Source organism: Homo sapiens, chromosome 15, assembly GCF_000001405.40.
Source record: "Homo sapiens chromosome 15, GRCh38.p14 Primary Assembly".
NCBI lineage: Eukaryota > Metazoa > Chordata > Mammalia > Primates > Hominidae > Homo > Homo sapiens.
The window spans coordinates 74781866-74804431 of NC_000015.10; the positions used below are offsets into that span (position 1 = coordinate 74781866).

The window sequence follows — 22566 nt, forward strand, 5'->3', positions numbered from 1 at the left end:
GCGTCCAGAGAAGGCTGGGAGGTTGCTCCCAGGCCGGCTGAGGAGAGACCCTCGGAGCCTTCAACGCAGCCAGGCGGCAAGTGGGGGCAGGGCGTGGGCGCGGACACACCCCCCGCAGTGCCCCCGGCGCCCGGCAGGGGGCGCCGCCCCGCCGGCCCACGCCCCGCCGCGCGCCGGGCAGGCCCCCTCGCGCAGGCGCGCTGCCGCGGGCGGAGGATCCGGGCCGCGCTTCCTCTCGCCAGGCCTGCGAGCTTCCTCCCAGCGGAGCCCTGGGCGAGCCGAGGTTGGCCGCCGCCGCCGCCGAGCCCGCTGCCGCCCTCCCGCTCCTGCCCCACCCGCGCCTTGCCCGGGGGCTTCTGCCGGGGTGGGGTCCGAGCCGGGCGACCGCCCGGCTGCGCCGCCGTCGGGGCCGTAACCCGGCCCGCCGTCCCTCCCGCCCCAGCCAGCCTCTGGCCGCCGGAGCCCGCGGGGCGTGGAGCGCGAGGAGCCCCGCGGCCCCGATCGAGCGTCCGGGGCGGCCCCCGGCAGCCAGCGCGACGTTCCAAAATCGAACCTCAGTGGCGGCGCTCGGAAGCGGAACTCTGCCGGGGCCGCGCCGGCTACATTGTTTCCTCCCCCCGACTCCCTCCCGCCCCCTTCCCCCGCCTTTCTTCCCTCCGCGACCCGGGCCGTGCGTCCGTCCCCCTGCCTCTGCCTGGCGGTCCCTCCTCCCCTCTCCTTGCACCCATACCTCTTTGTACCGCACCCCCTGGGGACCCCTGCGCCCCTCCCCTCCCCCCTGACCGCATGGACCGTCCCGCAGGCCGCTGATGCCGCCCGCGGCGAGGTGGCCCGGACCGCAGTGCCCCAAGAGAGGTGAGTGCCTGGCCGTCCCGGAGTGTCCCCTGGAGGGAAGAGGGTGGAGGTCGCGCGTCTAGTCTCTGTTGCTGCCACTGTCGCGTCCACTCCCATTCCCCTCTTCTCCCACTTCTCCCTTCTCTCCTTTACTCCCTTGCACGGGTTCGAATTCTCCCAGGAGCCACTGTCAGAACCCAAATTGGAAGGGAGTGCATGAGGGAGGTACTGCCCTGCAGCTCCACGGACTCGTCTTCTCGGGTCATCCCGAGTCCCCCCCTCTGTGGAGCTCAGAGTAGGAGGTGGCTGGAGTCTGGAGGAAGAGGATCCGTATGGGCCAGGTCCCTAGAGAGAGTGCTGGACTCCCCTGCCCTTCCCTGTACAGGGCCTCCCCGCAGGTGCCCTGGCTTGCTTGGTTCTGACCCCTCCCTCATTACCCCACCATGACCCTGCGGGCTGCAAGCAAGCCCAGGGCCCAGCCACCTCGGGTGAGCAGTTAGAAGCCCAGGTCCTAGGACTGAGCCTGTCACCCTTGGCCTCTCAGAAGACCAGGCCTAAGCCAAGGGATCTTTGGGTGGGAAACTGGGCAGGCCTTCTGCCCGGGGGGAGGTAACGGAGCATTAGCACCATGCCCCCACCTTCTGGCACCCTGGGCAGCCCATTCTCCTAGGCTCTTTGTGGCCCAGACCAGGTGTCAGGAAGGGGTGTGTCCAGCCAGCAGATTTTTTGGAGCTTAACTACCAGTTCACTTCCCCGCCCATTTTGTACACCCGGGAACCGAGGCTCAAAGGGAGAAGTTGCTACCCCAGGCCTCTAGTGGAGTTAGGCTGGCTGTCCTTTCATCCCCAGCTATACAGGGCTGGATGGCTGTGGGTGGAAGGAAACCAGGCAGGCACCTTCACCCACTGGGGACACAGGCCCCCAGCCCGGCCCCAGAGGGACCTTGTTGGTTGAGCACGTGCTTCCCTGCAGAGGGCTGGAGGGAGTGAAAGGGCTTCCGGCTCCAGCTGTGGCTGGGTCAGCTAGCAGGAGATGTGGGGAATGTGTGGTGTATGGCCATCTGTGTGGTGTGGCAGGAAGGTCCGGTCCTGGCCCCGGCTCTGAGTTGAAACAACCTGGTGGTCAGTCCTGACCCAGCACTCGCCACACCTATGGCCCAGCTGGCACAGGAGCAGCCAAGTTCAGGATATAAATGGGGTCACATGGGAACCGTGGAAGCTCTGTCTCCACTGGCAGCAGGCTACAGACTGGGGACATGGGAGCATTGTGAGAGTGGGGACACCCAGGGGGCCTGTTTCAAGCTCCTAGTACCCTGGCGGTTCCAGTGTCTTTCTTGGTTGTGGCCACAGCAGGAACAGGGCAAGGACAGCAGGGGTGAGGTTGAGGCCTGGCAGGATCCTCTGGCCCAGGAGAGCAGGCATTGCCCTGGTGGGTGCTGAGCAGTGTCTGGGCTCCCTTGGAGCTGCTGGCAGTTTTGTCCTGCTGGGTCCCTGCTCACGATTTAGGGTTTTTTTGTTTTTTCACTTTTTTTTCTGGCTGTCCTGACATGCACAGTGGAGGGGACCCAGATGTCCTGGGCCTGTGAGACTCCCCTCACATGGCCCCACACCCAGCCCTAACTTCCTTTCCAGCCTGAGGGACTGGGGCTGGAGCCTGACATGGTTAGCTCCCTCCCACCCCAGTCAGCCTTTTTAATTTTTATTTTATTTTATTTTATTTTTTTACCAACTGTGAGCTGTGAAGGTGTGATCCAGGGTCCCAGGGCCTTTGAAGAAAGGAGTCTGGCTTCTGGCTGGCACGTGTGCAGGGATGTGCTTTTCATTGGTGAGCTTGGTGCCCTCCACCCTCTCAGAAGCAGCTGCTCTTCTCTCTGCATTGGGTCAGGGGCAAGGAAAAAGCAGAAAATGTTCCCATTCACCACCGCAGGGGGGCCAGACCCCAAAAGGCTGAGCCACACAGAGTGGCCCTCGGCAAGGGTTGGAAATTTCGGGGACAGAATGCAGCTTCCTCCAAACAAGTATAGGTAGGGGTTGAGACCCAGGATCCACAGTGTGACATGGCTGCCCCCCAAAGGGGGCAGACCCACCTGGGTGCGGTTCTGGGCTCCATCTTTTGAAGGATTTTAAAACCTTGACAGGTCATCTTCAAAGAGCCAGGGATGTTGACTGAGTCTGGGAAAGAGAAAGTAGGGACAGATTCTCATATGTCTGAGGGACTGTCCCAAATGAGAAAGGCATCCCATGGCAGAAATTGTCCCAGACACGTGGGCCAGAGCTAGGGAGCAGGTGGGTCCCAGGGAAGTGAATCTGAGCTCATTATAGGGAAACCATGAATGTACTCATTTTCTTGATTTAGAAAATAACAAAACAGCGCTACAGGAAATTTAGAAAATGAAACAAAAATCACCCACTATTTCTTCAGCAGGCAGTGACTGTGTTAGCATTTTGGAGTTCACTGCCAGTCTTTTCCCCATCCTTTTCCTTCATTGTCGTTGTCACTGGAGTGTGTGTGCCGTGACACCTTTTTTCATTTAATACTGCGTCTGTGGGCATTTTCTCATGGTGCTACGCGGTCTAAGTAACGTTGCTTCTAAAAAGCTACAGAACATTCTAGGCTGGCCTGCTGCAGCGCCATCACCCATACACTGGAGCGTGTGCATTTTTCCCCTCTGTTGCTGTTGTGGTTGTCGTTACTATGAGTCCCAAAAGCAGCCAGGGTGTTGGAGGGCACAAGCAACTTGGCACCCAACTGAATGTGGGTTCCAGGCCCAGACATGCCACTTAGGCCCAGGGTAGAGGGACCTTAGACAGGTCACTGACCTGCTGAGCCTCGTTGATATAAATAACAGGATGGTAACACCTACTTCAGAGGAAGGTGTAAGGACAGTGTCAACTAACTAACCAAGGGACTCTAAAGTGCCTGGCACAGCCCTTTCTTCACTCCCTCTGTGAGTAGGATTGGCATTGTTGAAGGAGTGCCCACTGCTGGCTGCCTCAACCTGTGGGGAAGGTGCCTGAGCCACGGGCCAATGTTGACTGACCACTCACCTGGCAAAGAGGTGGTCTCCGCCTGAGGAGCCCCTGTGAAACCCCCTGGCCCTGAGGTTCTAGAATACTATGGCCAGTGCCCTTGCCTGCCTTCCCTTCTCCCCATTACCATATGATTGGCTGGCCTAGGACATGGGGCTGGCCCTGGGAAGATGGGCTGCTGGTTAGGGTCCGGGACCTGACTCCACCCATTCCCCTTCCGGTCTCCCAGCATCAGAGCTAAATAGACAAGGCCTCTTCTCTCTCTCTCTCTCTCTTTTTTTTTTTTGTGTGTGTGTGTGTGTGTGTGTGTGTGTGAGATGGAGTTTTGCTCTTGTTGCCCAGTCTGGAGTGCAATGGCGCGATCTTGGCTCACCACAACCTCCGGCTCCCGGTTTAAGCGATTCTCCTGCCTCAGCCTTCCAAGTTGGGATTAGAGGCATGTGCCATCACGCCTGGCTAATTTTGTATTTTTAGTAGCGATGGGGTTTCTCCGTGTTGGTCAGGCTGGTCTCAAACTCCTGACCTCAGGTGATCCACCCACCTCGGCCTCCTGAAGTGCTGGGATTATAGGCGTGAGCCACTGCGCCTCTTCTGTAAGAGCCTGGCTGCCTCCTGCCTCCCAGCTCTGGCTAGGTCAGCCCAGCTTGGCATTTTCCCAGAGGAAATAGAGGCCTGCTTAGCCTGAGACTTAGACAAGGAACCCAGGCATCCTGAGCCCCAGCCCAAGAACAGCCATGCCAGCCTCATCTTCGCACCCTGTTCCAGTAGCCAAGGAAGGGAAAGAAGCTGGGAGATTAAGGGTAGGGGGATTCTGGAGCCTCCCAGAGCTTCCCAGGAGGGAGTTGGACACATCGGGAAACTCATGTTAGCCTCCCCCTCCTCAGCAGGTGTTCCCCAGGTCTAACCTGAGTGTGTATCACTGTGACACACCTGCTTCCTCTTGTTCTACTTTTGTGGAGACCAGGGTAACTGGGAGTGCCCTCCTACAGCCACCCCGTGGGCAGTAGCAGGACACCAGTCTCCTCCTGGCAACCCTGGGCCTAAGAGACTGTAGCCCCAGATGACCCTAGGGTGGCCCAGGACTAACCTAAGGAAGGGGTCCTCCCCCAGGTGGCCCATTCAGTGCAGAGGTCCCTTGGGCACACGACTTCAGACTCCAGCTGCCAAACTTTGGCCTGTGGAGTATCTCCTCCTCCCTGGTCTTAGTGTAAGGGAAGTGGGCATGACAACTGCCCTCCTGTCCCACAGCTTGGGATGGGATGAGGTCACAGGGTGGGGTCCGCCCCAAGATGCTGGCCTGGCCTGGCTCAGATGAGAGCCCTTTGGGTGTTTCTCAGTTTCCCCCGCCCTTGGTTGGGGACAGGATGGGTGGAGGAGCAGGCCACCCCCAACGCCCGGCAGGGAGCACTGCCTCCCTTCCCCCTCTCCTCTGGGTCCCTTCATCCAAGGGCTGGAAATAGAATCCGCTAAGTAATGATTAAAGTCAAATTCAGACCTAAAAATAAAGAGCTGGTGAAGGAAGAGCTGGTGCTCCCTGCATGGCTGAGGGGAGAAGTGAGCAGGGAGAGGCTGGCTTTGGGTGGCTGAGCCCCTGCTCCTCGGGATCAGAAGTACTCCACCAGTTGGGGGGGTGCTCTTTTATCTGCCATGATGTGGCCCATTAAGTGTAGACGGCACCACTCAGGGCAGACTGGCAGGACCCATTAGAAAAAAAATCCCATTTTTCCCATGGGGAAACTGAGGCCCAGAAAGGAGAAGTGGTTTGTCAAGCGACTATTTGAGAGCTCCCCTCAGCAGGCCCCCAGGGACTGGAGGGCCCTGTGCAGCCCAGCCTGCCCTTTCTGCCTGCTCAGTTTCTCTTCCTGGTTTTGAGGTGCTAAGATGAAGTCAGCTTCTCATCACACACTAGCTGTGCACACACCCTCCAACCGCAGCTTCCCTCCACCCCTCCTTCTGTGGTCTGGGCCCAGAGTCGAAGGAACAAGTAGAAGAGAGGCTGCTTGGTGCCCCCCTGGCTGTCCTGATCATGGCATGGTTGTAAGCCTCGTGGGCAGGCGAAAACCTGGGCATCATCTGCCCCCCTTGGACCCTGGCTGCTGCTTCTCAGCCCAGCCTGACACCTGGTCCTCATGCAGACTCGCGCATCTATCTATCTGCAGCTTGTGCTGTCCGTGCTGCAGGGAGACAGGAGGGAAGGATGAAGAGCAAACCCTGAGAGCGCCTCTGCTGGCGGGTAGAGGAGACGAGGAGTCAGTGAGGGGAGGCCTGTGGTTCTCACTTCCTGGCAGAGCTGGTAGGAGCTCTGAAGCTGGGGCTCTGCGTGGGCTGGGGCAGCCTGGAGGGCCTCCTGGAGGGGAAGGTCCTGTGAAAGTTGAGAAGTGTTTGAAGAAGAAGCGTGGTAGGAGGAGAGGTCCTTGTTTGAAGCTTCTGCCCTCTCTAGGGCTGCTGGCTCTTTTCTGTGTGTCCCTCGACAGGCTCTTGGCCTCTCTGAGAGGCTGGGGTATGCAGACAAGCAAGAAGTGGGCACAGAAGTACCTCTGCTTCCCAGAGCAGAACAGCCAAGCTCTGGGCAGACCTCCCCTCGGTGCCCCCCACCTGTCCATTTTCAGGGTGTCGTCTGTCCTGCACAAGGAAAGGTGGGAAGAAAGGTCCCCTAACCAAGGTTCAGACAACTCTGAGCTCAAGTACCCACACAGCTAGTTCCTCCTCTGTCAGAGATCACCAGTCCTTGCCCTATGGGGTGTTTGAAGGATTAAGTAACTAATGCAGTGCCCCAAACCCGGTTGGGTCAGTCAGCTGTAATTCCCGTGTTCTCATTCTGCAGCCCATCCTGCTGGAGGAGTGTACTGGTAACACCCCCATCTCCCTTAAGTAGTAGCAAGTCTGTCCTTTGTGTTGATCCCCACAGCTTTACCTTCTGAGCTGTGTGTTCTGCAGATCCTGGTTCTGAAGTGGGGAGACCAGAAATCTGGGGGCCGAAGTTTTAGACAGCTTATGGGCCTCCAGCCGTCAGTCTCCCCACCTAGAATGTGGCCAGGAGACTTCCGGGTGAGGGACAAGAACATGACTTTGAAGGGTCCATTGAAGGCTAGTGCTGAGAGGCTATATGCAAATGCAGGCAAATGAAGATGCAAAGACCACATCCTGTGCTAAGGGGGTGGGGGAGCAGAGGCCTGGGTTAGGGCCCTGGGGAGGCCCAGAGTCCCCATTGCCCAGCGCACATAGGTAATTAGGCTCCTGAGCGGTAATTAGAAACCTTTCTGGGCCAGGAATGGCAGCCTCAAGCCGCAGCGGTGCCTGGGGAGTAGGCTCCCCATTAGCCTGCTCTAACCCCAGCCCCCACCTCTCCCAAACCACTAGACGGGATTTCCGGTCCCACTGAACCATTGGGGGCAGGGGAAAAAAAGCCAGTGTGTTGCTATAATTTGGTATTTATCCATTAAATCCGCCCTTCTCCTTAGGTCAGGGTGCTGACGGGAGCCCCGGGATGGGGGTAGGGCAGCGTGCCCTGGAGCCAGAGCAGGCATTCTTCTGTTCCTTCGTAACCGCCCCGGGAGGTGTAGGCATCTCCAAGACCCTGGCGCCCAATTCTGCTGCTGCTCACCCTGAGACACCTGTGCAGTGGGGGTGCTGAGGGACCACCAGCGCAGGCTGCGGGGGTCAGTGGAAGCCCTCGGGCACCCTTCCTTGCCTGATGTGTGGTGGGGAATGTCACAGTGCCTCAGCCTGGTGTCCTCTGCAGAACCAGAGGTGGAGCTGATTTTATTGCTGCCAAACTTGCCCAACTGCTGGTGGGTGCCCCGCCCTCCTCAGGTGCACTGCCCTTTGGAGGGGCGGGCCCAAATCTGAAACTTAATTCTGCCTGTATCTGTACTATGACCTGTAGGCCCTGCTCGGAGGTTCCCTGGGCCCCCATCCTGAACCTTCTTCAGTCTTCATTAACTCGCTCTGTACCACAGTTTGCAGTCTTAATCCTGGTTTACTTCAAGGCGCCCCTCTCTCAGTCACTTTCCCCTAAAATCCTTCTAGCTCCTGCTCCCCTCACCCATCTTCCTGGAAGCCTTCCCGGGTGGCCCCTGTCTCACAATCTATTGAGGCACTGAACATACCAGGCCATGGCTGACCATCCAGTAACCAGGAGGACAGGAGCCGGGTCTGCATTTTGTGGTGGTTCCCAGCATCCAGCCCTGGCTTGTGCACAGAGGAGAGGTGTGTGAGTGGTGACCTTGGGTCCCCAAAGGCAGGACCTCTTGAGTCCTTTCCTTCTCCACCCGGATATCCTGGCCTACCAAGCATGGCTCTGGGCACACAGGAAGGCTTCTAAAACACTGGCTCAAAGAATGAGAAGGCAAGGTGGACCTTGCTGTTGCCTGTTTTGCCTCCAGTGGCTGTCCCCATCCCCCAGAGCATCCAGCTAGGTCCTGTGGCAGCACCAGAATCTCCGGGGGCCAGGGCCCTGAGTTCCCCCAGGTCTTTTGTGCACTTCCCTTTTCAGTGGGTATTTTTAGCTGGGCGTAAACAGTTACTGAAGGCTCCCACGCCCCATTAGGCAGCAGAGTTTTGGCAAGGGGGAAGGGCAAGGGAGCCCCTTGACCTCCCCTGGCCCTCAGCACGTGCCTGGCCTTGGGGGTCTACAGCTGCTTCCAGGGTAGGAAAAGGGCAGCCTGGGAGTTTCTGGGCTCCCAGTTCTTTCTCCCCACTCCTTGTCAGCCTGGGCTCACAAGAAAGGCTGCCTGAGGCTGCAGCCACTGACCTCAGCGCTTGGGCACAATGCCAGCCTGTTCCCGGGACCCCAGCACAAGGGCTGCTGGGAGCCGGGTTTAGGGCAGGAAGTCAGAGTGAAGCACTGGTCCTGCCACATCCCAAGCCCCTTGTCCCCTAGCCCTGCGGGAATGGGGTGACAGCTGCTGTCCCTTTGGGGTTAACTATAGTCCTATTGGTTATGAGACCTCGGTGTGGTACAGCCAGCCTGGCGTCCCCTTTTTTTCATTCGTTCATTCATTCATTCATTCAGCACTCATTTACTGAGCAGCCGCTTTGGGCCCAGCCCATGCAGACGTGAGTCAGACCCTCACTTTCCCCCTGCAGAGCTCCCAGTCCACCCTAAACCACAGGCCACAACCAGTGAGGTTCTCACTGGAGCACGGGGATGTGTGAGAGGCCTTGGAGGCCTCGGCAGCCAACACAGCTGGGGACCCAAGGAATTCTCCAGAGAGAGGTGATTTACAAAAAGTTTCTTATTTCCAGTTTTAAGGGGGAAGGTAATAGATGCATGTGGCTTTAAAAAAATAATAATAATTTTTTTAAAAGCCCAAAAGGACAAAATAGCAAATGAACAGTAAAAAGTAAGTTTCTCTTGAACTTGATCTCACTTTCCCTTCTCATCCTAGAGGCAACCTCTGTTACCAGTTTCCTCTGTCTTTCCAAAGATAATCGAGGCATATTTGAGTTTAGGGAGGTGTTGCATTAATACCTCTTTAAAAACACAACTTGTAGTATTCCATAGAGAACCTGCACCTGGCTTTTTTTTTCACAGCCTTTTATTTTGAGTATTTGAAACCTACCAAAAAGTTGAAGTAATAGTATAATGAATATTCATATATCCTTCATGCAGATTTGCCAGTTCTTAACATTTTGCCACATTTACTCTATCTCTTCTTTTATCTACATAGACATATGTGTGTATGTATTTTTTGCTGATTTGAGTGTTAGTTGTAGGCATTGCATCTTTCACCCTAAGAACTTTAGCGTGTATCTCTTATATAATCACAATGTCATGATCACACTTAAGAAAATTGACATTAATTCCATATTATCTACTATGTCCATTTCCCCTCTCCCCAAGTGATTTTTATAGCTGTCCCCCCGACCACCCCTTGATATAGAATTCAATTCAAGATCATTTATTGAATCTTGTCATGTTTCTCTAGTGTCCTGTTCAATCTAGAACATTCTCCAGCCCTTTTTTTGTTTTGCTCTTTTATGACATTGACATGAAGAGTCCGGGCCAGTTGTTCTGGATTTGTCTGATTGCTTCTCCCTGGTTGGAGTCAGGTGGAACAGCTCTGGCAGGAACGCCCCCCCGGGCAATGCAGAGTCCTCCTCCAGGAGGCACTTAGTGTCCATGCGTCACCTTGCTGGTGATGCTTCACTGGATCACTTGGTTCCGGGGTTGTCCGCACGTCTCCCTGTAGTGCAGGTGCTCCTTCCTGTTTCCAATTAGCCTGTGGGATGGGACTTGGAAGCTGTGTCTGTTCTGCTCCCCTGGCAACTTTTTCTTCAATGACTTGAGCTGGTGTTTTGCCATTTTCCATACTCTATCATGGGGAGTGTTCAGTATCGGCATCTAGAGATCTCCCCTGGCCCCATCACAGCTAGAGCTATGCTGTCCCCTTTCAGGGACATCTTGTAATTTATCCACCCAGCCCCCAACTGATGGACATAAAGGCTGTCTCCCCATCATCTCCTGCTACTACAGACAGCACTGCAGGGACTGTCCTGCTGTGTTTTTTTAAGGCATGGGTACTCCAGAAGCAGTTGCTCAGCTGCACCCCCAAGGTTGAGTGGAAGTCCCTCGGTAAAGGAGGAGGAGAGAGTGTGAAGGGAATGGCAAGGCGGGGAGGGAGACAGGGCACAGGTGTCCTGGCAACAGCAGATGGGAAACAGGTCTGGCTAAGGTACCAGAAGCCAACAAGTCCCAGAAAGGTCAAGTGACTTTCCCAAGGTCACACAGCAAGTTGATGGCAGAGCTGGGTACAGGACTCAGAGCATCTGACACCCAGGACGATGTTCCTGCACTGTTCCATAGAGTAGCCCGACTCTTAAGTTTAAATAACCCCAGGAAGGACCCCCTCTCTGTGCCTGACCCCCGCTGGGTTGTAGAGGCCTAAGTTTGCAGTAGCTCCTCCCAGCCACTCTGGCTGTCAGCCTCTGACCTGCAGTGGGAGGGTCTCACCTTCTGGAGATGTTTTAAGGAGGGGACCCCGGCCTAGGCACTAGCTGGGAAGCCACTGAGCCATCTTGTCTGCGGCCACTGACGTCAGTGCTTGGGCACAATGCCAGCCTGTTCCCGGGACCCCAGCACAAGGGCTACTGGGAGCCGGGTTTGGGGCAGGAAGTCAGCGTGAAGCACTGGTCCTGCCACATCCCAAGCCCCTTGTCCCCTAGCTCTGTGGGGGTGGGGTGACAGCTGCTATCGCTTTGGGGTTAACTATAGTCCCTTTGGGGTTAACTATAGTCCCATTGGTTATGGGACCTCAGTGTGATGTAGCCAGGCTGGATTCCCCCTTTTGTTTGTTCATTTATTCATTCATTCAGGGGTCTCATGACCCCACCAGGGAGGAGCCGTCCAAGAGAGTTAGCAGCTCCCACTTGCAAGATGTCTGTGGCAAGGCAGGCACTGTTCTGGTGCTGAGAGCTCAACTCCAGTCCTCACAGCAGCCCCCAGAGCCAAGGAGTATCACCAGTCCATTGCACAGATGGGGAAGCTGGGTTCTAGAGTCACAGCCAGCAGAGTAAAGGTGATGAGTTTAGCCCTCTTCCCTGTTTCCAGACCCTCTGAGGCCTTCAGAGCCCAGCTCCTTGAGGCAGCCCACCCCGACCGCTCCTAGGCTTACCCTTCCCTGAGCACCGCCCCTGTGCCCCTCATAGCTGCTTCTGCCTCCTCCCTCCTCCCTCCTCTCCCTTGCCCCTAGGCTAGTGTGGTCCCCATGGCAACTCCTGGGGCCTGTCCGGCAGGGAGGCACGGGGCTATGGGGAGGGCTGGCTCAGCAGCTCAGGAGTTTGACACCTGAGGGGGACAGAATGCTCACTCAAGGTGTGGCCCTAGGGACCCCCGCCTTGCCCCTGTGGGCCTCACTTGGGGTTCTCATCTGCAAAATGGGGATAATAATAGCTTCTCTGTCTCAGAGTTGTTAGAGGATGTGATGAGCCATAACGTGCCAAGGACAGGGCCTGGCACAGAATAAGTGCTCAGAAAACAGGGCCTGTTATTATTTTTATTATTATAATCAAGGCAGTGGGGAGGCGGCGGTGGCAGTAGCTGTAGGCCAGGAAGGGAGTGTTTGCAAACTGACAGCTGGAAGGGTGACTAACAGCGCAGCAGCCTCCGCGCCCCCCTGTGGTGGCAGGGAGTTTGGGGAGGAAGGGGGAGGCATGGGGATGTGGAATGCTAGCAGGGCCCCTATTCAGAAGGACCTAAAGGTTGGGGGCCCAGCCAGCCCTAGTGGGACCCTAATTCAAGCTCTGTCACCCCTAACTAGCTATGTGACTTCAGGCAAATTGTTCAACCAGTTGAGCCTCAGTTTCCGCTTCTGTGAAATGGGGGTAAGAGGGTTAGAAGAGCTCACAATCCTCCTTCCCTCCCCGCCACCCCCACCCCCACAGCTTACAGTCCACAGGAGGCAGGGGCAAGGGGTCCTCACCACCCCCACCCTCACAGCTTACAGTCCACAGGAGGCAGGGGCAAGGGGTCCCCGCCACCCCCACCCTCACAGCTTACAGTCCACAGGAGGCAGGGGCAAGGGGTCCCCGCCACCCCCACCCCCACAGCTTACAGTCCACAGGAGGCAGGGGTAAGGGGTCCCCGCCACCCCCACCCCCACAGCTTACAGTCCACAGGAGGCAGGGGCAAGGGGTCCCCGCCACCCCCACCCTCACAGCTTACAGTCCACAGGAGGCAGGGGCAAGGGATGGTTCCTGTACTTAGTGGTGACTGAGTCATGTGGATGGAGGCAGGTTTCAGGCTCATCCTCCTTGGGCCTCAGTGTCCCTGCCTAAACAGCAGGATTGATGGCCTGGCCTCTGGGGATAGAAAGGGCCCTGTATTCTGGGAGGAACGGAAGCTCTTTCATCCAGGGGATGGGGCAGGGGCGCACCAGACATTTCCAAGTTCAGGGTTTCATTCCAGCCCCTCCTCAGCCAGCTTGCAGGAGATACCTGTCCTCCCCTTCAGGGTAAGCAAGACTTAGAAGGGTTGAGTCACTCACCCCAAGTCGCACAGTCAACAGAGCCAGGTATTAAGCCCAGGCCTGACTATAGAGCCAGGTGTGCGGCCTGGAAGTGTTGGTTCTCCCTGGCCGTCTCCTCCCCAGCTCCTTCTGCTCTCCATGATCACATGCCCCCCTGCTGAGGCCCCATCGCCCTTGGAGTCAAACCCTGGTTCCTCACATTGGCAGTGGAAGTCCCCCTGCTGCCTGGCAGAGTTTATGCCAGGCCCACTTGAAACCATCCCCTACAGTGTCCCCTGAGCAGCGGTGCTCAAGGTGGACTCTGGAAGTGTGTGGGGTCCTAGAGCCCCAGATGGGCAGGGTCTGCCTTCCCGCTTCCCTCACCATCGGCTTCCACCTGGGCCAGTTTCTCATACTATGCCAGTCCCCTGCCTGACACCTTTGCTCAGACTGCTGCATCAACCTGGGGTGCCTTCCCTGGCCCGCCCTCTGCCTGTGTAAGCCCTGCAATCTTCAGGGCTCAGCCCCAGAGCTCCCTCCTCCAGGGAGCCTGTCTGAGCTCTGCAGTCCGTGCCTACTTCACACCCCCAGCACTTTGCACTAAAATGTCTTCTCCCGCGCCACTGCACTCCAGCCTGGGCAACAGAGCAAGACTCCGTCGCAATAATAACAATAATAATAAAATAAAATGTCTCCTTCCACTGGGGTAGGTAGCAATATTTGTGACTGTCAGCCTAGCCCCCAGACCTCATCCACTGTATCAAAGAGCCCAGCAAAGAGGCTCATGGAGGAGTTTCTCTTCTAACACACTGTGACCACGAAGATGCCACTGGCCCTTTCTCACCCTCAGTTTCCTCACCCGTAGAAAGGAAACAGTAGTTCCAGCCCCTCTGCTTCCTGAGACAGGTCCAAGGGGGCTCTGGGCTGGGATTACAAAGTATGTGTGTGCAGACGGGTGGGTTGCTGCTCTCAGGGAATGGGGTTGGCTAGGGTAGCTTTTTTGGGGAGTCAACTTTATTGAAGTAAATATACGGTTGACCCTTGAACAACACAGGGGTTGAGGGCATCAACCTCCTCCCTGCAGTCAAAAAATCATATATTAACTTTTGACTCCTCAAAAACTTAACTACTAATAGCCTATTGTTGTCAGAAAGCCTTGTAGATAAAGTTGATTGACACTCATTTTGTTTGTTATATATATTATATACTGTATTCTTACAATAAAGTAAGCTAGTGAAAATAAAATAAGAAAATCATATGGCCGGGTGCAGTGGCTCACACCTGTAATCTCAGCACATTGGGAGGCTGGGGCAGGCGGATCACTTGAGGCCAGGAGTTCAAGACCAGCATGGCCAATATGGTGAAACCCTGTATCTACTAAAAATACAAAAATTGGTCTGCTGTGTTGGCGCACGCCTATGATCCCAGCTACTCAGGTGGTCAAGGCATGAGAATCACTTGAACCTGGGAGGCGGAGGTAGTTGCAGTAAGCCGTGAGTCACCCCACCACTGCGTTCCAGCCTGGGCGACAGAGTCTTGCTGTCTCAAAAAAAAAAAGAAAGAAAATCATAAGGAAGAGGAAATATATCTACTATTCTTTAAGTCGAAGGGGATCATTATGAAGGTCTTCATCCTTCACATTGAGTAGGCTGAGGAGGAAGAGGAAGAGTTGGTCTTGCCGTCACAGAGGTGGCAGAGGTGGAGGCGGAGGAGGTGGAAAGGAAGGCAGAAAAGGCAGGCACACTCAGTGTAACTTACTGAAAAACATCCAGCCACGTGTGGTGGCGCATGCCTGTGGTAATCGCTACTTAGGAGGCTGAGGCAGGAGGATTGGCTGAACCCAGGGGTTTGAGGCTGCTGTGAGCTATGATCACGTCACTGCACTCCTGCCTGGGCAACAGAGTGAGACCCTTTCTCAAAAAAAAAAAAAAAAGAAAAGAAAAAGAAAAAATCCATGTGTAACTGGACCTGCGCAGTTCAGACCCGAGTTGTTCAAGTGTGCACTATACACCAAAAAGTGTGCCGATCGCAATGGTACAGCTCAGTGAATTGTCACAGAGTGGACCCACTTCATGATTGGGCTCAGACAGTCTGAAAACCAACCCCAGAGGTCCCCTTGCATTCCTTCCAGTCTCCCTGTCCCAAGAGCAGCTATCCTGACAGCATGGATTAGTTTGGCCAGATTTTGAACTTTATTCAAATGGAATTACATAATATGTACTTTCCTGTGTCTGGCTTCTTGGTTAACATTTTATTTATTTATTTATTTATTCATTCATTTAGAGGCAGGGTCTCACTCTGTCGCCCAGGCTGGAGTGCAGTGGTGTGACCTTGGCTCACTGTAGCCTTGACCTCCCCAGGCTCAAGCGATCCTCCCACCTCAGCCTCCTGAGTAGCTGGGAGTACAAGCACGCAGTACCACCCCCGGCTAATTTTTGTATCTTTAGTAGAGACCGGGTTTCGCCATGTTGCCGAGACTGGTCTTGAACTCCTCCTGGGTTTAAGCCATCTGTCTGCCTCAGCTTCCCAAAGTGCTGAGATTACAGGTGTGAGCCACTGTGCCTAGCCATCATTATGTTTTGAAATTTATCGGGATTGGCCAGGCACGGTGACTGGCACCTGTAATCCCAGCATTTTGGGAGGCCGAGGTGGGTGGATCACCTGAGGTCAGGAGTTCGAGACCAGCCTGGCCAACATGGTGAAACCCCATCTCTACTGAAAATACAAAAATTAGCTGGTTGTGGTGGTGCATGCCTGTAATCCCAGCTACTCAGGAGGTGGAGGTTGCAATGAGCCGAGATTGTGCTACTGCACTCCAGCCTGGGTGACAGAGCCAGACTCCATCTCAAAAAAAGAAAAGAAAAGAAATTCATCAGTGTTATTTAATGGTTGGAGTTTGTGTTGGAGTTTATTTAATGGTTGGTGTTTACTGCTGTACGTAGTCCCTTTTGTGAATATGCCACTGTTTATCCATTTTCCTCTGGATCGGCATCTGGGCAGCTCCCAGTTTGAGGTTTATTACAAAGCATGCCACTTGTAGCCCTCCTGTGCCTGTCTAGGCAGACACATGTCCTGTGTCCTCTCGGTGTGTACCTAGAAGTGGGGTTGGTATATGTTTAGAGATGCTACCTGGGCGGGATTTTGCAGGTGAAGGACCCAAGGACCCACAGAGCATAAGGGACTTTCTCAGATCACATAGCCCCTTCTCAGAGCTGCTCCGGGGCCCCTTTCCCCACAGAACAGTAGCTGGAACCAGGCCTGGGGCTGACGGTCAGGTGTCCATTGTCCCACTAGCCCCCTTTGCTCCTTTCTATCAGTCCTGGAAGGCCCCCTGTGGCCTTAGGGTTGGTGGCTCCCTCTGCCCCTGGGGGTCCTCAGCCCTCATGCTCCTCTACCCAGTACCGTCAGCCTGCCAGGACTGGAGAGAATGGCCCATGTGTCAAATCCCAGCGCAGGACACTCTTGGCACCTGTTCATGCCCAGTGAGGAGCCAGATCTCAGCAGTTGGGGGGCATTTCTTCACACCCCTCCTCAGTCTTCATGCTCTTCCCCACAGCTCTAATGGTACCAAGTGACAGGTTGGCTTTACTGTGACTCGGGGACGCCAGAGCTCCTGAGAAGATGTCAGCAATACAGGTACCACAGGGGTGAGGGTCTGGGACATGCAAGCATTCCCACCAGCCCCAGCGGGGTGCTTAGCAGAGGAGAGAGGATGCAGCTTAGATCAACCCACTCCCCTTTTTCCCAGCACTCAGTCAGGTACAGGCCTGGGGAAGTGGGGGAGTCTCAACAGGAAGGGACCCAGGGCTCGTTCTCCGGGCAGAGCACCTCACCCAGGCTCACAGAGGCCAGCTCAGAGGCTGTGACCACGAGGGTGCGCCAGCAGGTGGCTGGAGGGGGCCCAGGCTGCACCCGCCCACGTGTCACCTGCCTTGCAGGCCGCCTGGCCATCCGGTACAGAATGTATTGCCAAGTACAACTTCCACGGCACTGCCGAGCAGGACCTGCCCTTCTGCAAAGGAGACGTGCTCACCATTGTGGCCGTCACCAAGGTAATCAGGTGACGCCCACCCCACCATCCCACTGCTGGGCCTTCCCTCTGCAGGGGGAGGTGGGCCTGAGAGCATGTCTGGGCTGCCCTCTCCCCAGGACCCCAACTGGTACAAAGCCAAAAACAAGGTGGGCCGTGAGGGCATCATCCCAGCCAACTACGTCCAGAAGCGGGAGGGCGTGAAGGCGGGTACCAAACTCAGCCTCATGCCGTGAGTACCACGAGGAGGGGTTGGGGAGGGAAGGGGCCTTGGTCCTCCTGAAGGAGCATCAGGAGCAAGCAGGGAGGCCAGAGTGAGGGGCTTGGGTGTTGGGGAGGGCCTCAGGAGGAGGTGCAGGGTGCGGGTGCGGGACCTCACAGAGCAGGGCTGGGGGCAGAGGCAGGAGGGTGGCAAAGAAGGGACAGGGAGCAGAAGAAGAGGGCCTCAAATGCCTGACTGAGCGAGTGCGAGCCACGGGTGCCAAGCAGAGGGAACCCCTTCAGAAAGGGGAGCCAGGGTCAGTACCTTTGGGCCACCATGACCTCCAGCCCTGCTGCTCCCCAGTTGGTTCCACGGCAAGATCACACGGGAGCAGGCTGAGCGGCTTCTGTACCCGCCGGAGACAGGCCTGTTCCTGGTGCGGGAGAGCACCAACTACCCCGGAGACTACACGCTGTGCGTGAGCTGCGACGGCAAGGTGGAGCACTACCGCATCATGTACCATGCCAGCAAGCTCAGCATCGACGAGGAGGTGTACTTTGAGAACCTCATGCAGCTGGTGGAGGTGAGCTGGGGGGTACAGAGCCTTGCTCCCACCCTCACACACCCTAAACCCATCTGGGGCCCTGGCTTCTAGCTCCAGCCCCACTGCTTCTGCGTGGTGACCAGCCATGTGGGGCAACTTCTGTGAGCCCTTGTTTCCTCACACCTTGGTGGAGCAGCTGCTGCGTGCCAGGACTCACCTCTGACCCCACAGTGCCACCATGAGGAGGGGAGCCTTATCCTCATTTTATAGACCAGGAGTTGAAGGTTCAGAGCAGTTAGGGGACCCACCTGAGGTCCCACAGATATAATTTGGTGCCAGGACTAGAATCTGAGTCTGTCTGATCCCAGAGCTAACTTTCCTCCAGCCACTCACAGACCTGCATGCTCAGAAGCGTGTGCAGAAACATGAGCCATGCGCCTTGATCGCCAGGGCCCCTGAGGCTCTCGCACCTGCACGGACATGCCCACAGGTCCCTGCAGCTTCCCAGGCCAGCTCTGCCAGCCCTGGCCAGGCCACACCTGGCATCCGGTAGCCACAGGAAGCCTCCCGTGTCCCTCTGTATTCACTCTTATCTCCCTCCCCTACTGGCCTGGCTTGGCCTGTGGCAGGTGAGGGTGGGGTCCTGGGCACTCCTGGCTAGAGGCTGGTTTCAGGACTGAGCCATGGGTTGCCCTCTGCATCAGATACCCATGGGGCCCAGAGTGGTAGCAGCAGCTGAGTGTCCAGCAACCGCATGTAGGGTGGCATGGGAAATGGGCCATACGTCATAATCTGGGACTTCCCTAACCCCTGCCCTACCAGAAATGGGGAGCCCTCCCCACTCAGTGACTCCAGGCTAGGCGGGGCTGGCCTCTGCCGCCCTCTGGTGGTCAGGCCTGGACGGTGCATATGGGGCACCTTGGGCTGTCTCTGAGCACCCTGCCCCCCACACCCTGCAGCACTACACCTCAGACGCAGATGGACTCTGTACGCGCCTCATTAAACCAAAGGTCATGGAGGGCACAGTGGCGGCCCAGGATGAGTTCTACCGCAGTGAGTGCACCCCACCCCAGACCTCTTGCCCACCCACCTCCTCCCACGCAGGCTTCCTGGCACTGCCCCATCCAGGAACCTCCAGAGAACCCCAGTGCCTGATAGTCCAGTCAGCCTCTGTCATCCCAGCCATGTCCCTAGTGGCCTCCAGGCCCTCACTGGCCCCTCCCCACAGGCGGCTGGGCCCTGAACATGAAGGAGCTGAAGCTGCTGCAGACCATCGGGAAGGGGGAGTTCGGAGGTGAGCTGGGCCGGGCCCCCTGGGGGGGTTCTGAGGGACTCCGAACTTGGGAACAAGACCACCTCTCTGCCCCCAGACGTGATGCTGGGCGATTACCGAGGGAACAAAGTCGCCGTCAAGTGCATTAAGAACGACGCCACTGCCCAGGCCTTCCTGGCTGAAGCCTCAGTCATGACGTGAGTGGGGGCGGGGTAGGGGGGAGGTTGGCCTAGGTTAGGAGTGAGGCACCAGCTTCCCCTTTCTGACCACTCTCGTCCTGCCCCAGGCAACTGCGGCATAGCAACCTGGTGCAGCTCCTGGGCGTGATCGTGGAGGAGAAGGGCGGGCTCTACATCGTCACTGAGTACATGGCCAAGGTGGGCACCTGCCGAGACCCGGCACTCAGGCCTTCCAACTGCCCCGAAACCCCCACTGTGCTCTAGGGCCCCTGCTCCCTCAGTCCCCCGACCCCAAGTGAGCTTTTAGGTCACCAGGGCTGGGCTTTTGTCCTGGTTTACCATTCATTGACTGTAACATTGGACAAATCATGTCACCTCCAAGCCTCAGCATCACATCTGGGAAATGGAGATAATAACAACTTAGAGATTTGTGAGAGTCAAGGGATAAGGCATGAATAACACAGAGCAGTGTCCGGCATGGATGTTCTGGCCCCTCCCCACTCCTTCCCTGTCTCACACCTCCCTGGAGTGTCAACACCCACCCGGCCCCAGCGTGCTGTGTGAGAGGGCTGCAGGGCACGTCTGACCTCGGCCTGGTCTGTCCTTCCTGCCCCCAGGGGAGCCTTGTGGACTACCTGCGGTCTAGGGGTCGGTCAGTGCTGGGCGGAGACTGTCTCCTCAAGTTCTCGCTGTGAGTGAAGCAGCCTCTTGGATGGGTAGGGTTTGAGGGGTACCCTGCCCTGCTATGGGAGCCCCAGTCTGAGGGGACATGTGGCTGGCCTACCCCCAGAGATGTCTGCGAGGCCATGGAATACCTGGAGGGCAACAATTTCGTGCATCGAGACCTGGCTGCCCGCAATGTGCTGGTGTCTGAGGACAACGTGGCCAAGGTCAGCGACTTTGGTCTCACCAAGGAGGCGTCCAGCACCCAGGACACGGGCAAGCTGCCAGTCAAGTGGACAGCCCCTGAGGCCCTGAGAGAGAAGGTGGGGCTGGCCTCCCCTGGGGCCTACAGAGGTGGGCAGGAGTCCTGGGTCACTCCCCACCCTGGAGTCCCAGGATCTGACGCTGCTTCTTCCATCCACATGGCAGAAATTCTCCACTAAGTCTGACGTGTGGAGTTTCGGAATCCTTCTCTGGGAAATCTACTCCTTTGGGCGAGTGCCTTATCCAAGAATTGTGAGTATGGGTACTGGGATCAGGGTGGCTCTTGGAGCACCGGAGGGGTTGGCAGGGGCGTGAGCCTCCTTGGGCCCTGCCTCCCCAATCAAGGCCTAGAAGCCTCAGGCCTGCCCTGGGGAGCTCACAGGCCACTCTCCGGGCCTGGGTCTGCGGCAAAGCTGATGGGCATCCCTGAGAGGCTGCTGGGTAGGTGTCCTCTCTGAGGCCAGGGCCTGGACTGACTCCTGCCTCCCCCTGGCCACAGCCCCTGAAGGACGTCGTCCCTCGGGTGGAGAAGGGCTACAAGATGGATGCCCCCGACGGCTGCCCGCCCGCAGTCTATGAAGTCATGAAGAACTGCTGGCACCTGGACGCCGCCATGCGGCCCTCCTTCCTACAGCTCCGAGAGCAGCTTGAGCACATCAAAACCCACGAGCTGCACCTGTGACGGCTGGCCTCCGCCTGGGTCATGGGCCTGTGGGGACTGAACCTGGAAGATCATGGACCTGGTGCCCCTGCTCACTGGGCCCGAGCCTGAACTGAGCCCCAGCGGGCTGGCGGGCCTTTTTCCTGCGTCCCAGCCTGCACCCCTCCGGCCCCGTCTCTCTTGGACCCACCTGTGGGGCCTGGGGAGCCCACTGAGGGGCCAGGGAGGAAGGAGGCCACGGAGCGGGAGGCAGCGCCCCACCACGTCGGGCTTCCCTGGCCTCCCGCCACTCGCCTTCTTAGAGTTTTATTCCTTTCCTTTTTTGAGATTTTTTTTCCGTGTGTTTATTTTTTATTATTTTTCAAGATAAGGAGAAAGAAAGTACCCAGCAAATGGGCATTTTACAAGAAGTACGAATCTTATTTTTCCTGTCCTGCCCGTGAGGGTGGGGGGGACCGGGCCCCTCTCTAGGGACCCCTCGCCCCAGCCTCATTCCCCATTCTGTGTCCCATGTCCCGTGTCTCCTCGGTCGCCCCGTGTTTGCGCTTGACCATGTTGCACTGTTTGCATGCGCCCGAGGCAGACGTCTGTCAGGGGCTTGGATTTCGTGTGCCGCTGCCACCCGCCCACCCGCCTTGTGAGATGGAATTGTAATAAACCACGCCATGAGGACACCGCCGCCCGCCTCGGCGCTTCCTCCACCGAGCCTGCTTGTCCTGCCCGGTCGTCCCTCCCATGCCATCTTGTCCATCCCCCTGTGTCTGTGAGTGGGGCTGGGTGGGGAGCATGGCTGGGAGATGTAGCCGCCGCTTTGTGTCAGCTGCACGAGTGAGTGTCCTTGTGTCTGCCCTCCGGGAAGTGCTCACCAGTTGCCCTGCTGCCGCCAGGCCCAGCTCCGGGGCCCCATCTACAGGATGCTGCCTGGGGGTTCCAGCTGCCTCCCCTGCTGTTTTCAAGCCTGCCGCACAAGGAGGGCTACAGCTAGGGATGGGAGGGAGCCCAGGCCTGCACAGATGGGAACGGGGTTCTAGTCAAGCCCCCTGTGCAAGAGAGAGAAAAAGCAATGGTGGGCCCAGTGGGCTTCCTCTGGCAGGAGGAGAAGTGTCTCATGCCTGAGAAGATGCTGACCCGGAGAGGGACGGGAAAGCTCCTGGTGGTTCTCCAGTTTCACCCACGATGTCACAGCTTTGCCCTGTCCCCACCCCTGCCATGTGCCAGGCCTTAGGTCATACCAGACTTGGCAGGGGTTGAGGATGCAGGGCAGAGGGGAGATCCTGGCACCTTCCAGTCAGGGGGAGTCCCTCCCCACCCCACCTTGTCGGGGAACATATAGAGAATGTGGACCAGCCATGAGATTTTCTCCCCTCACTCAGGTTGTCCAGGGGCAGTGGTCAGTACAGAACCTCTGAAGGTGTGAGGAGGCTTCATGTATTCCCTGAGGCAGGCAGGTGGGGTGTTCCCCTGTCCTGTTGTGGCCCCGACCCTTCCTCTACCAGCCAACAGGACCTGAAATCCAGGAAGATCTGACTTCGAAGTCTACCTTGTGTCTGTTCCTCAGCCCCACTGTAGTTCCATCTACCAGTGCAACAGCCTCCTCGCCGCCTCCACTTCATCTTCTCTGCATACTGCCAGACTTAATTTTTCTAAAACTACACCATTCATTCAACAACAAATATTTGAATACCTGCTGTTTGCTAGGACTGAGGTTCATCAATAAGCAAAACACACCCTGTGGAGTCCACAGTTGGGAAGACAATCAAATAGTCACATATAGACAGTGACAAACTTAAGTGCTACATGAGGAACACAAAACATGGGAATCTTTGTAGATCAGGGAGGGCTTCTGGAAAGAAGCAGCGTTTAAGCTGAGATCAGAAGCAGAATGAACAGGTTGTATGGCAGGAGTTAGCAGCATTCCAGGAAGAGATGCTGAGACTGG

General features: G+C 56.8%; 1 protein-coding gene and 1 non-coding gene across 15 annotated transcripts, besides 27 other annotated features; one reads left to right on the plus strand and one right to left on the minus strand.

Annotated features, from left to right (window-relative positions):
• Window positions 95–314: a silencer, noted in NCBI's record as "silent region_6657". NCBI's record gives its function as "represses an Ori minimal core promoter by ATAC-STARR-seq in GM12878 lymphoblastoid cells {active_cell/tissue: GM12878}" and the evidence as "EXISTENCE:reporter gene assay evidence [ECO:0000049][PMID:35858748]".
• CSK (C-terminal Src kinase) lies at window positions 215–21332 on the plus strand. 14 transcript variants are annotated; one of them, NM_001354988.2, is made up of 15 exons: window positions 6679–6712; window positions 8952–9081; window positions 11181–11383; window positions 16368–16447; window positions 16750–16863; window positions 16961–17073; window positions 17407–17626; window positions 18547–18640; window positions 18816–18881; window positions 18958–19057; window positions 19147–19237; window positions 19657–19730; window positions 19830–20025; window positions 20132–20218; window positions 20466–21332. In NM_001354988.2, the coding sequence occupies exons 4-15, from the start codon at window positions 16433–16435 to the stop codon at window positions 20646–20648; spliced, it is 1353 nt and encodes a 450-aa protein (NP_001341917.1). In that variant the 5' UTR covers window positions 6679–6712; window positions 8952–9081; window positions 11181–11383; window positions 16368–16432; the 3' UTR covers window positions 20649–21332. The 14 variants fall into 14 exon arrangements, 13 of the variants coding, with proteins under 13 accessions (NP_001374019.1, NP_001374022.1, NP_001374020.1 ...); NM_001387090.1 differs by lacking the exons at window positions 6679–6712; window positions 8952–9081; window positions 11181–11383 and adding exons at window positions 215–855; window positions 2570–2658; NM_001387093.1 differs by lacking the exons at window positions 6679–6712; window positions 8952–9081; window positions 11181–11383 and adding exons at window positions 215–855; window positions 2578–2658.
• Window positions 425–684: a silencer, noted in NCBI's record as "silent region_6658". NCBI's record gives its function as "represses an Ori minimal core promoter by ATAC-STARR-seq in GM12878 lymphoblastoid cells {active_cell/tissue: GM12878}" and the evidence as "EXISTENCE:reporter gene assay evidence [ECO:0000049][PMID:35858748]".
• Window positions 917–1492: an enhancer, noted in NCBI's record as "H3K4me1 hESC enhancer chr15:75075123-75075698 (GRCh37/hg19 assembly coordinates)". NCBI's record gives its function as "activates a minimal SCP1, AML or CMV promoter by ChIP-STARR-seq in naive H9 embryonic stem cells {active_cell/tissue: H9 hESC(naive)}" and the evidence as "EXISTENCE:reporter gene assay evidence [ECO:0000049][PMID:30033119]".
• Window positions 2375–2504: an enhancer, noted in NCBI's record as "active region_9793". NCBI's record gives its function as "activates an Ori minimal core promoter by ATAC-STARR-seq in GM12878 lymphoblastoid cells {active_cell/tissue: GM12878}" and the evidence as "EXISTENCE:reporter gene assay evidence [ECO:0000049][PMID:35858748]".
• Window positions 2515–2574: an enhancer, noted in NCBI's record as "active region_9794". NCBI's record gives its function as "activates an Ori minimal core promoter by ATAC-STARR-seq in GM12878 lymphoblastoid cells {active_cell/tissue: GM12878}" and the evidence as "EXISTENCE:reporter gene assay evidence [ECO:0000049][PMID:35858748]".
• Window positions 5343–5532: an enhancer, noted in NCBI's record as "active region_9795". NCBI's record gives its function as "activates an Ori minimal core promoter by ATAC-STARR-seq in GM12878 lymphoblastoid cells {active_cell/tissue: GM12878}" and the evidence as "EXISTENCE:reporter gene assay evidence [ECO:0000049][PMID:35858748]".
• Window positions 5603–5822: an enhancer, noted in NCBI's record as "active region_9796". NCBI's record gives its function as "activates an Ori minimal core promoter by ATAC-STARR-seq in GM12878 lymphoblastoid cells {active_cell/tissue: GM12878}" and the evidence as "EXISTENCE:reporter gene assay evidence [ECO:0000049][PMID:35858748]".
• Window positions 5935–6112: a silencer, noted in NCBI's record as "fragment chr15:75080141-75080318 (GRCh37/hg19 assembly coordinates)". NCBI's record gives its function as "represses an EF-1alpha promoter that drives an FKBP-Casp9 reporter gene in an ReSE screen in HepG2 liver carcinoma cells {active_cell/tissue: HepG2}" and the evidence as "EXISTENCE:reporter gene assay evidence [ECO:0000049][PMID:32094911]".
• Window positions 5943–5992: an enhancer, noted in NCBI's record as "active region_9797". NCBI's record gives its function as "activates an Ori minimal core promoter by ATAC-STARR-seq in GM12878 lymphoblastoid cells {active_cell/tissue: GM12878}" and the evidence as "EXISTENCE:reporter gene assay evidence [ECO:0000049][PMID:35858748]".
• Window positions 6003–6112: an enhancer, noted in NCBI's record as "active region_9798". NCBI's record gives its function as "activates an Ori minimal core promoter by ATAC-STARR-seq in GM12878 lymphoblastoid cells {active_cell/tissue: GM12878}" and the evidence as "EXISTENCE:reporter gene assay evidence [ECO:0000049][PMID:35858748]".
• On the minus strand, window positions 6807–6892 carry MIR4513 (microRNA 4513). Its single transcript, NR_039738.1, has one exon. It is a non-coding gene; the product is annotated as a microRNA 4513 (primary transcript).
• Window positions 7173–7482: an enhancer, noted in NCBI's record as "active region_9799". NCBI's record gives its function as "activates an Ori minimal core promoter by ATAC-STARR-seq in GM12878 lymphoblastoid cells {active_cell/tissue: GM12878}" and the evidence as "EXISTENCE:reporter gene assay evidence [ECO:0000049][PMID:35858748]".
• Window positions 7513–7592: an enhancer, noted in NCBI's record as "active region_9800". NCBI's record gives its function as "activates an Ori minimal core promoter by ATAC-STARR-seq in GM12878 lymphoblastoid cells {active_cell/tissue: GM12878}" and the evidence as "EXISTENCE:reporter gene assay evidence [ECO:0000049][PMID:35858748]".
• Window positions 8103–8152: an enhancer, noted in NCBI's record as "active region_9801". NCBI's record gives its function as "activates an Ori minimal core promoter by ATAC-STARR-seq in GM12878 lymphoblastoid cells {active_cell/tissue: GM12878}" and the evidence as "EXISTENCE:reporter gene assay evidence [ECO:0000049][PMID:35858748]".
• Window positions 8173–8242: an enhancer, noted in NCBI's record as "active region_9802". NCBI's record gives its function as "activates an Ori minimal core promoter by ATAC-STARR-seq in GM12878 lymphoblastoid cells {active_cell/tissue: GM12878}" and the evidence as "EXISTENCE:reporter gene assay evidence [ECO:0000049][PMID:35858748]".
• Window positions 8413–8512: an enhancer, noted in NCBI's record as "active region_9803". NCBI's record gives its function as "activates an Ori minimal core promoter by ATAC-STARR-seq in GM12878 lymphoblastoid cells {active_cell/tissue: GM12878}" and the evidence as "EXISTENCE:reporter gene assay evidence [ECO:0000049][PMID:35858748]".
• Window positions 9894–9953: an enhancer, noted in NCBI's record as "active region_9804". NCBI's record gives its function as "activates an Ori minimal core promoter by ATAC-STARR-seq in GM12878 lymphoblastoid cells {active_cell/tissue: GM12878}" and the evidence as "EXISTENCE:reporter gene assay evidence [ECO:0000049][PMID:35858748]".
• Window positions 10443–11272: an enhancer, noted in NCBI's record as "H3K4me1 hESC enhancer chr15:75084649-75085478 (GRCh37/hg19 assembly coordinates)". NCBI's record gives its function as "activates a minimal SCP1, AML or CMV promoter by ChIP-STARR-seq in primed H9 embryonic stem cells {active_cell/tissue: H9 hESC(primed)}" and the evidence as "EXISTENCE:reporter gene assay evidence [ECO:0000049][PMID:30033119]".
• Window positions 11273–12101: an enhancer, noted in NCBI's record as "H3K4me1 hESC enhancer chr15:75085479-75086307 (GRCh37/hg19 assembly coordinates)". NCBI's record gives its function as "activates a minimal SCP1, AML or CMV promoter by ChIP-STARR-seq in primed H9 embryonic stem cells {active_cell/tissue: H9 hESC(primed)}" and the evidence as "EXISTENCE:reporter gene assay evidence [ECO:0000049][PMID:30033119]".
• Window positions 12029–12078: an enhancer, noted in NCBI's record as "active region_9805". NCBI's record gives its function as "activates an Ori minimal core promoter by ATAC-STARR-seq in GM12878 lymphoblastoid cells {active_cell/tissue: GM12878}" and the evidence as "EXISTENCE:reporter gene assay evidence [ECO:0000049][PMID:35858748]".
• Window positions 16247–16296: an enhancer, noted in NCBI's record as "active region_9806". NCBI's record gives its function as "activates an Ori minimal core promoter by ATAC-STARR-seq in GM12878 lymphoblastoid cells {active_cell/tissue: GM12878}" and the evidence as "EXISTENCE:reporter gene assay evidence [ECO:0000049][PMID:35858748]".
• Window positions 16247–17689: a biological region, named in NCBI's record as "BRD4-independent group 4 enhancer GRCh37_chr15:75090696-75091895".
• Window positions 16262–17113: an enhancer, noted in NCBI's record as "H3K4me1 hESC enhancer chr15:75090468-75091319 (GRCh37/hg19 assembly coordinates)". NCBI's record gives its function as "activates a minimal SCP1, AML or CMV promoter by ChIP-STARR-seq in primed H9 embryonic stem cells {active_cell/tissue: H9 hESC(primed)}" and the evidence as "EXISTENCE:reporter gene assay evidence [ECO:0000049][PMID:30033119]".
• Window positions 16490–17689: an enhancer, noted in NCBI's record as "BRD4-independent group 4 enhancer chr15:75090696-75091895 (GRCh37/hg19 assembly coordinates)". NCBI's record gives its function as "activates an origin of replication core promoter dependent on BRD2, P300/CBP, MED14 and CDK7 cofactors, and independent of BRD4, by STARR-seq in HCT116 cells {active_cell/tissue: HCT116}" and the evidence as "EXISTENCE:reporter gene assay evidence [ECO:0000049][PMID:35650434]".
• Window positions 17965–18816: an enhancer, noted in NCBI's record as "H3K27ac-H3K4me1 hESC enhancer chr15:75092171-75093022 (GRCh37/hg19 assembly coordinates)". NCBI's record gives its function as "activates a minimal SCP1, AML or CMV promoter by ChIP-STARR-seq in naive H9 embryonic stem cells {active_cell/tissue: H9 hESC(naive)}" and the evidence as "EXISTENCE:reporter gene assay evidence [ECO:0000049][PMID:30033119]".
• Window positions 18219–18338: an enhancer, noted in NCBI's record as "active region_9807". NCBI's record gives its function as "activates an Ori minimal core promoter by ATAC-STARR-seq in GM12878 lymphoblastoid cells {active_cell/tissue: GM12878}" and the evidence as "EXISTENCE:reporter gene assay evidence [ECO:0000049][PMID:35858748]".
• Window positions 18343–18637: an enhancer, noted in NCBI's record as "tiled region #11341; HepG2 Activating DNase matched - State 12:CtcfO, and K562 Activating DNase unmatched - State 25:Art". NCBI's record gives its function as "activates a minimal TATA promoter and a strong SV40 promoter by Sharpr-MPRA in HepG2 and K562 cells {active_cell/tissue: HepG2 | K562}" and the evidence as "EXISTENCE:reporter gene assay evidence [ECO:0000049][PMID:27701403]".
• Window positions 18817–19666: an enhancer, noted in NCBI's record as "H3K4me1 hESC enhancer chr15:75093023-75093872 (GRCh37/hg19 assembly coordinates)". NCBI's record gives its function as "activates a minimal SCP1, AML or CMV promoter by ChIP-STARR-seq in primed H9 embryonic stem cells {active_cell/tissue: H9 hESC(primed)}" and the evidence as "EXISTENCE:reporter gene assay evidence [ECO:0000049][PMID:30033119]".
• Window positions 21333–22566: the final 1234 nt, after the last annotated feature.

What these genes read in the sequence shown, in the direction of transcription:
- CSK (NM_001387090.1), top strand. An exon ending in ACCAAACTCAGCCTCATGCC is followed by an intron (nt 17,074 to 17,406) that starts GTGAGTACCACG and finishes GCTGCTCCCCAG; the next exon opens with TTGGTTCCACGGCAAGATCA. An exon ending in GAGTGCCTTATCCAAGAATT is followed by an intron (nt 20,219 to 20,465) that starts GTGAGTATGGGT and finishes CCCTGGCCACAG; the next exon opens with CCCCTGAAGGACGTCGTCCC.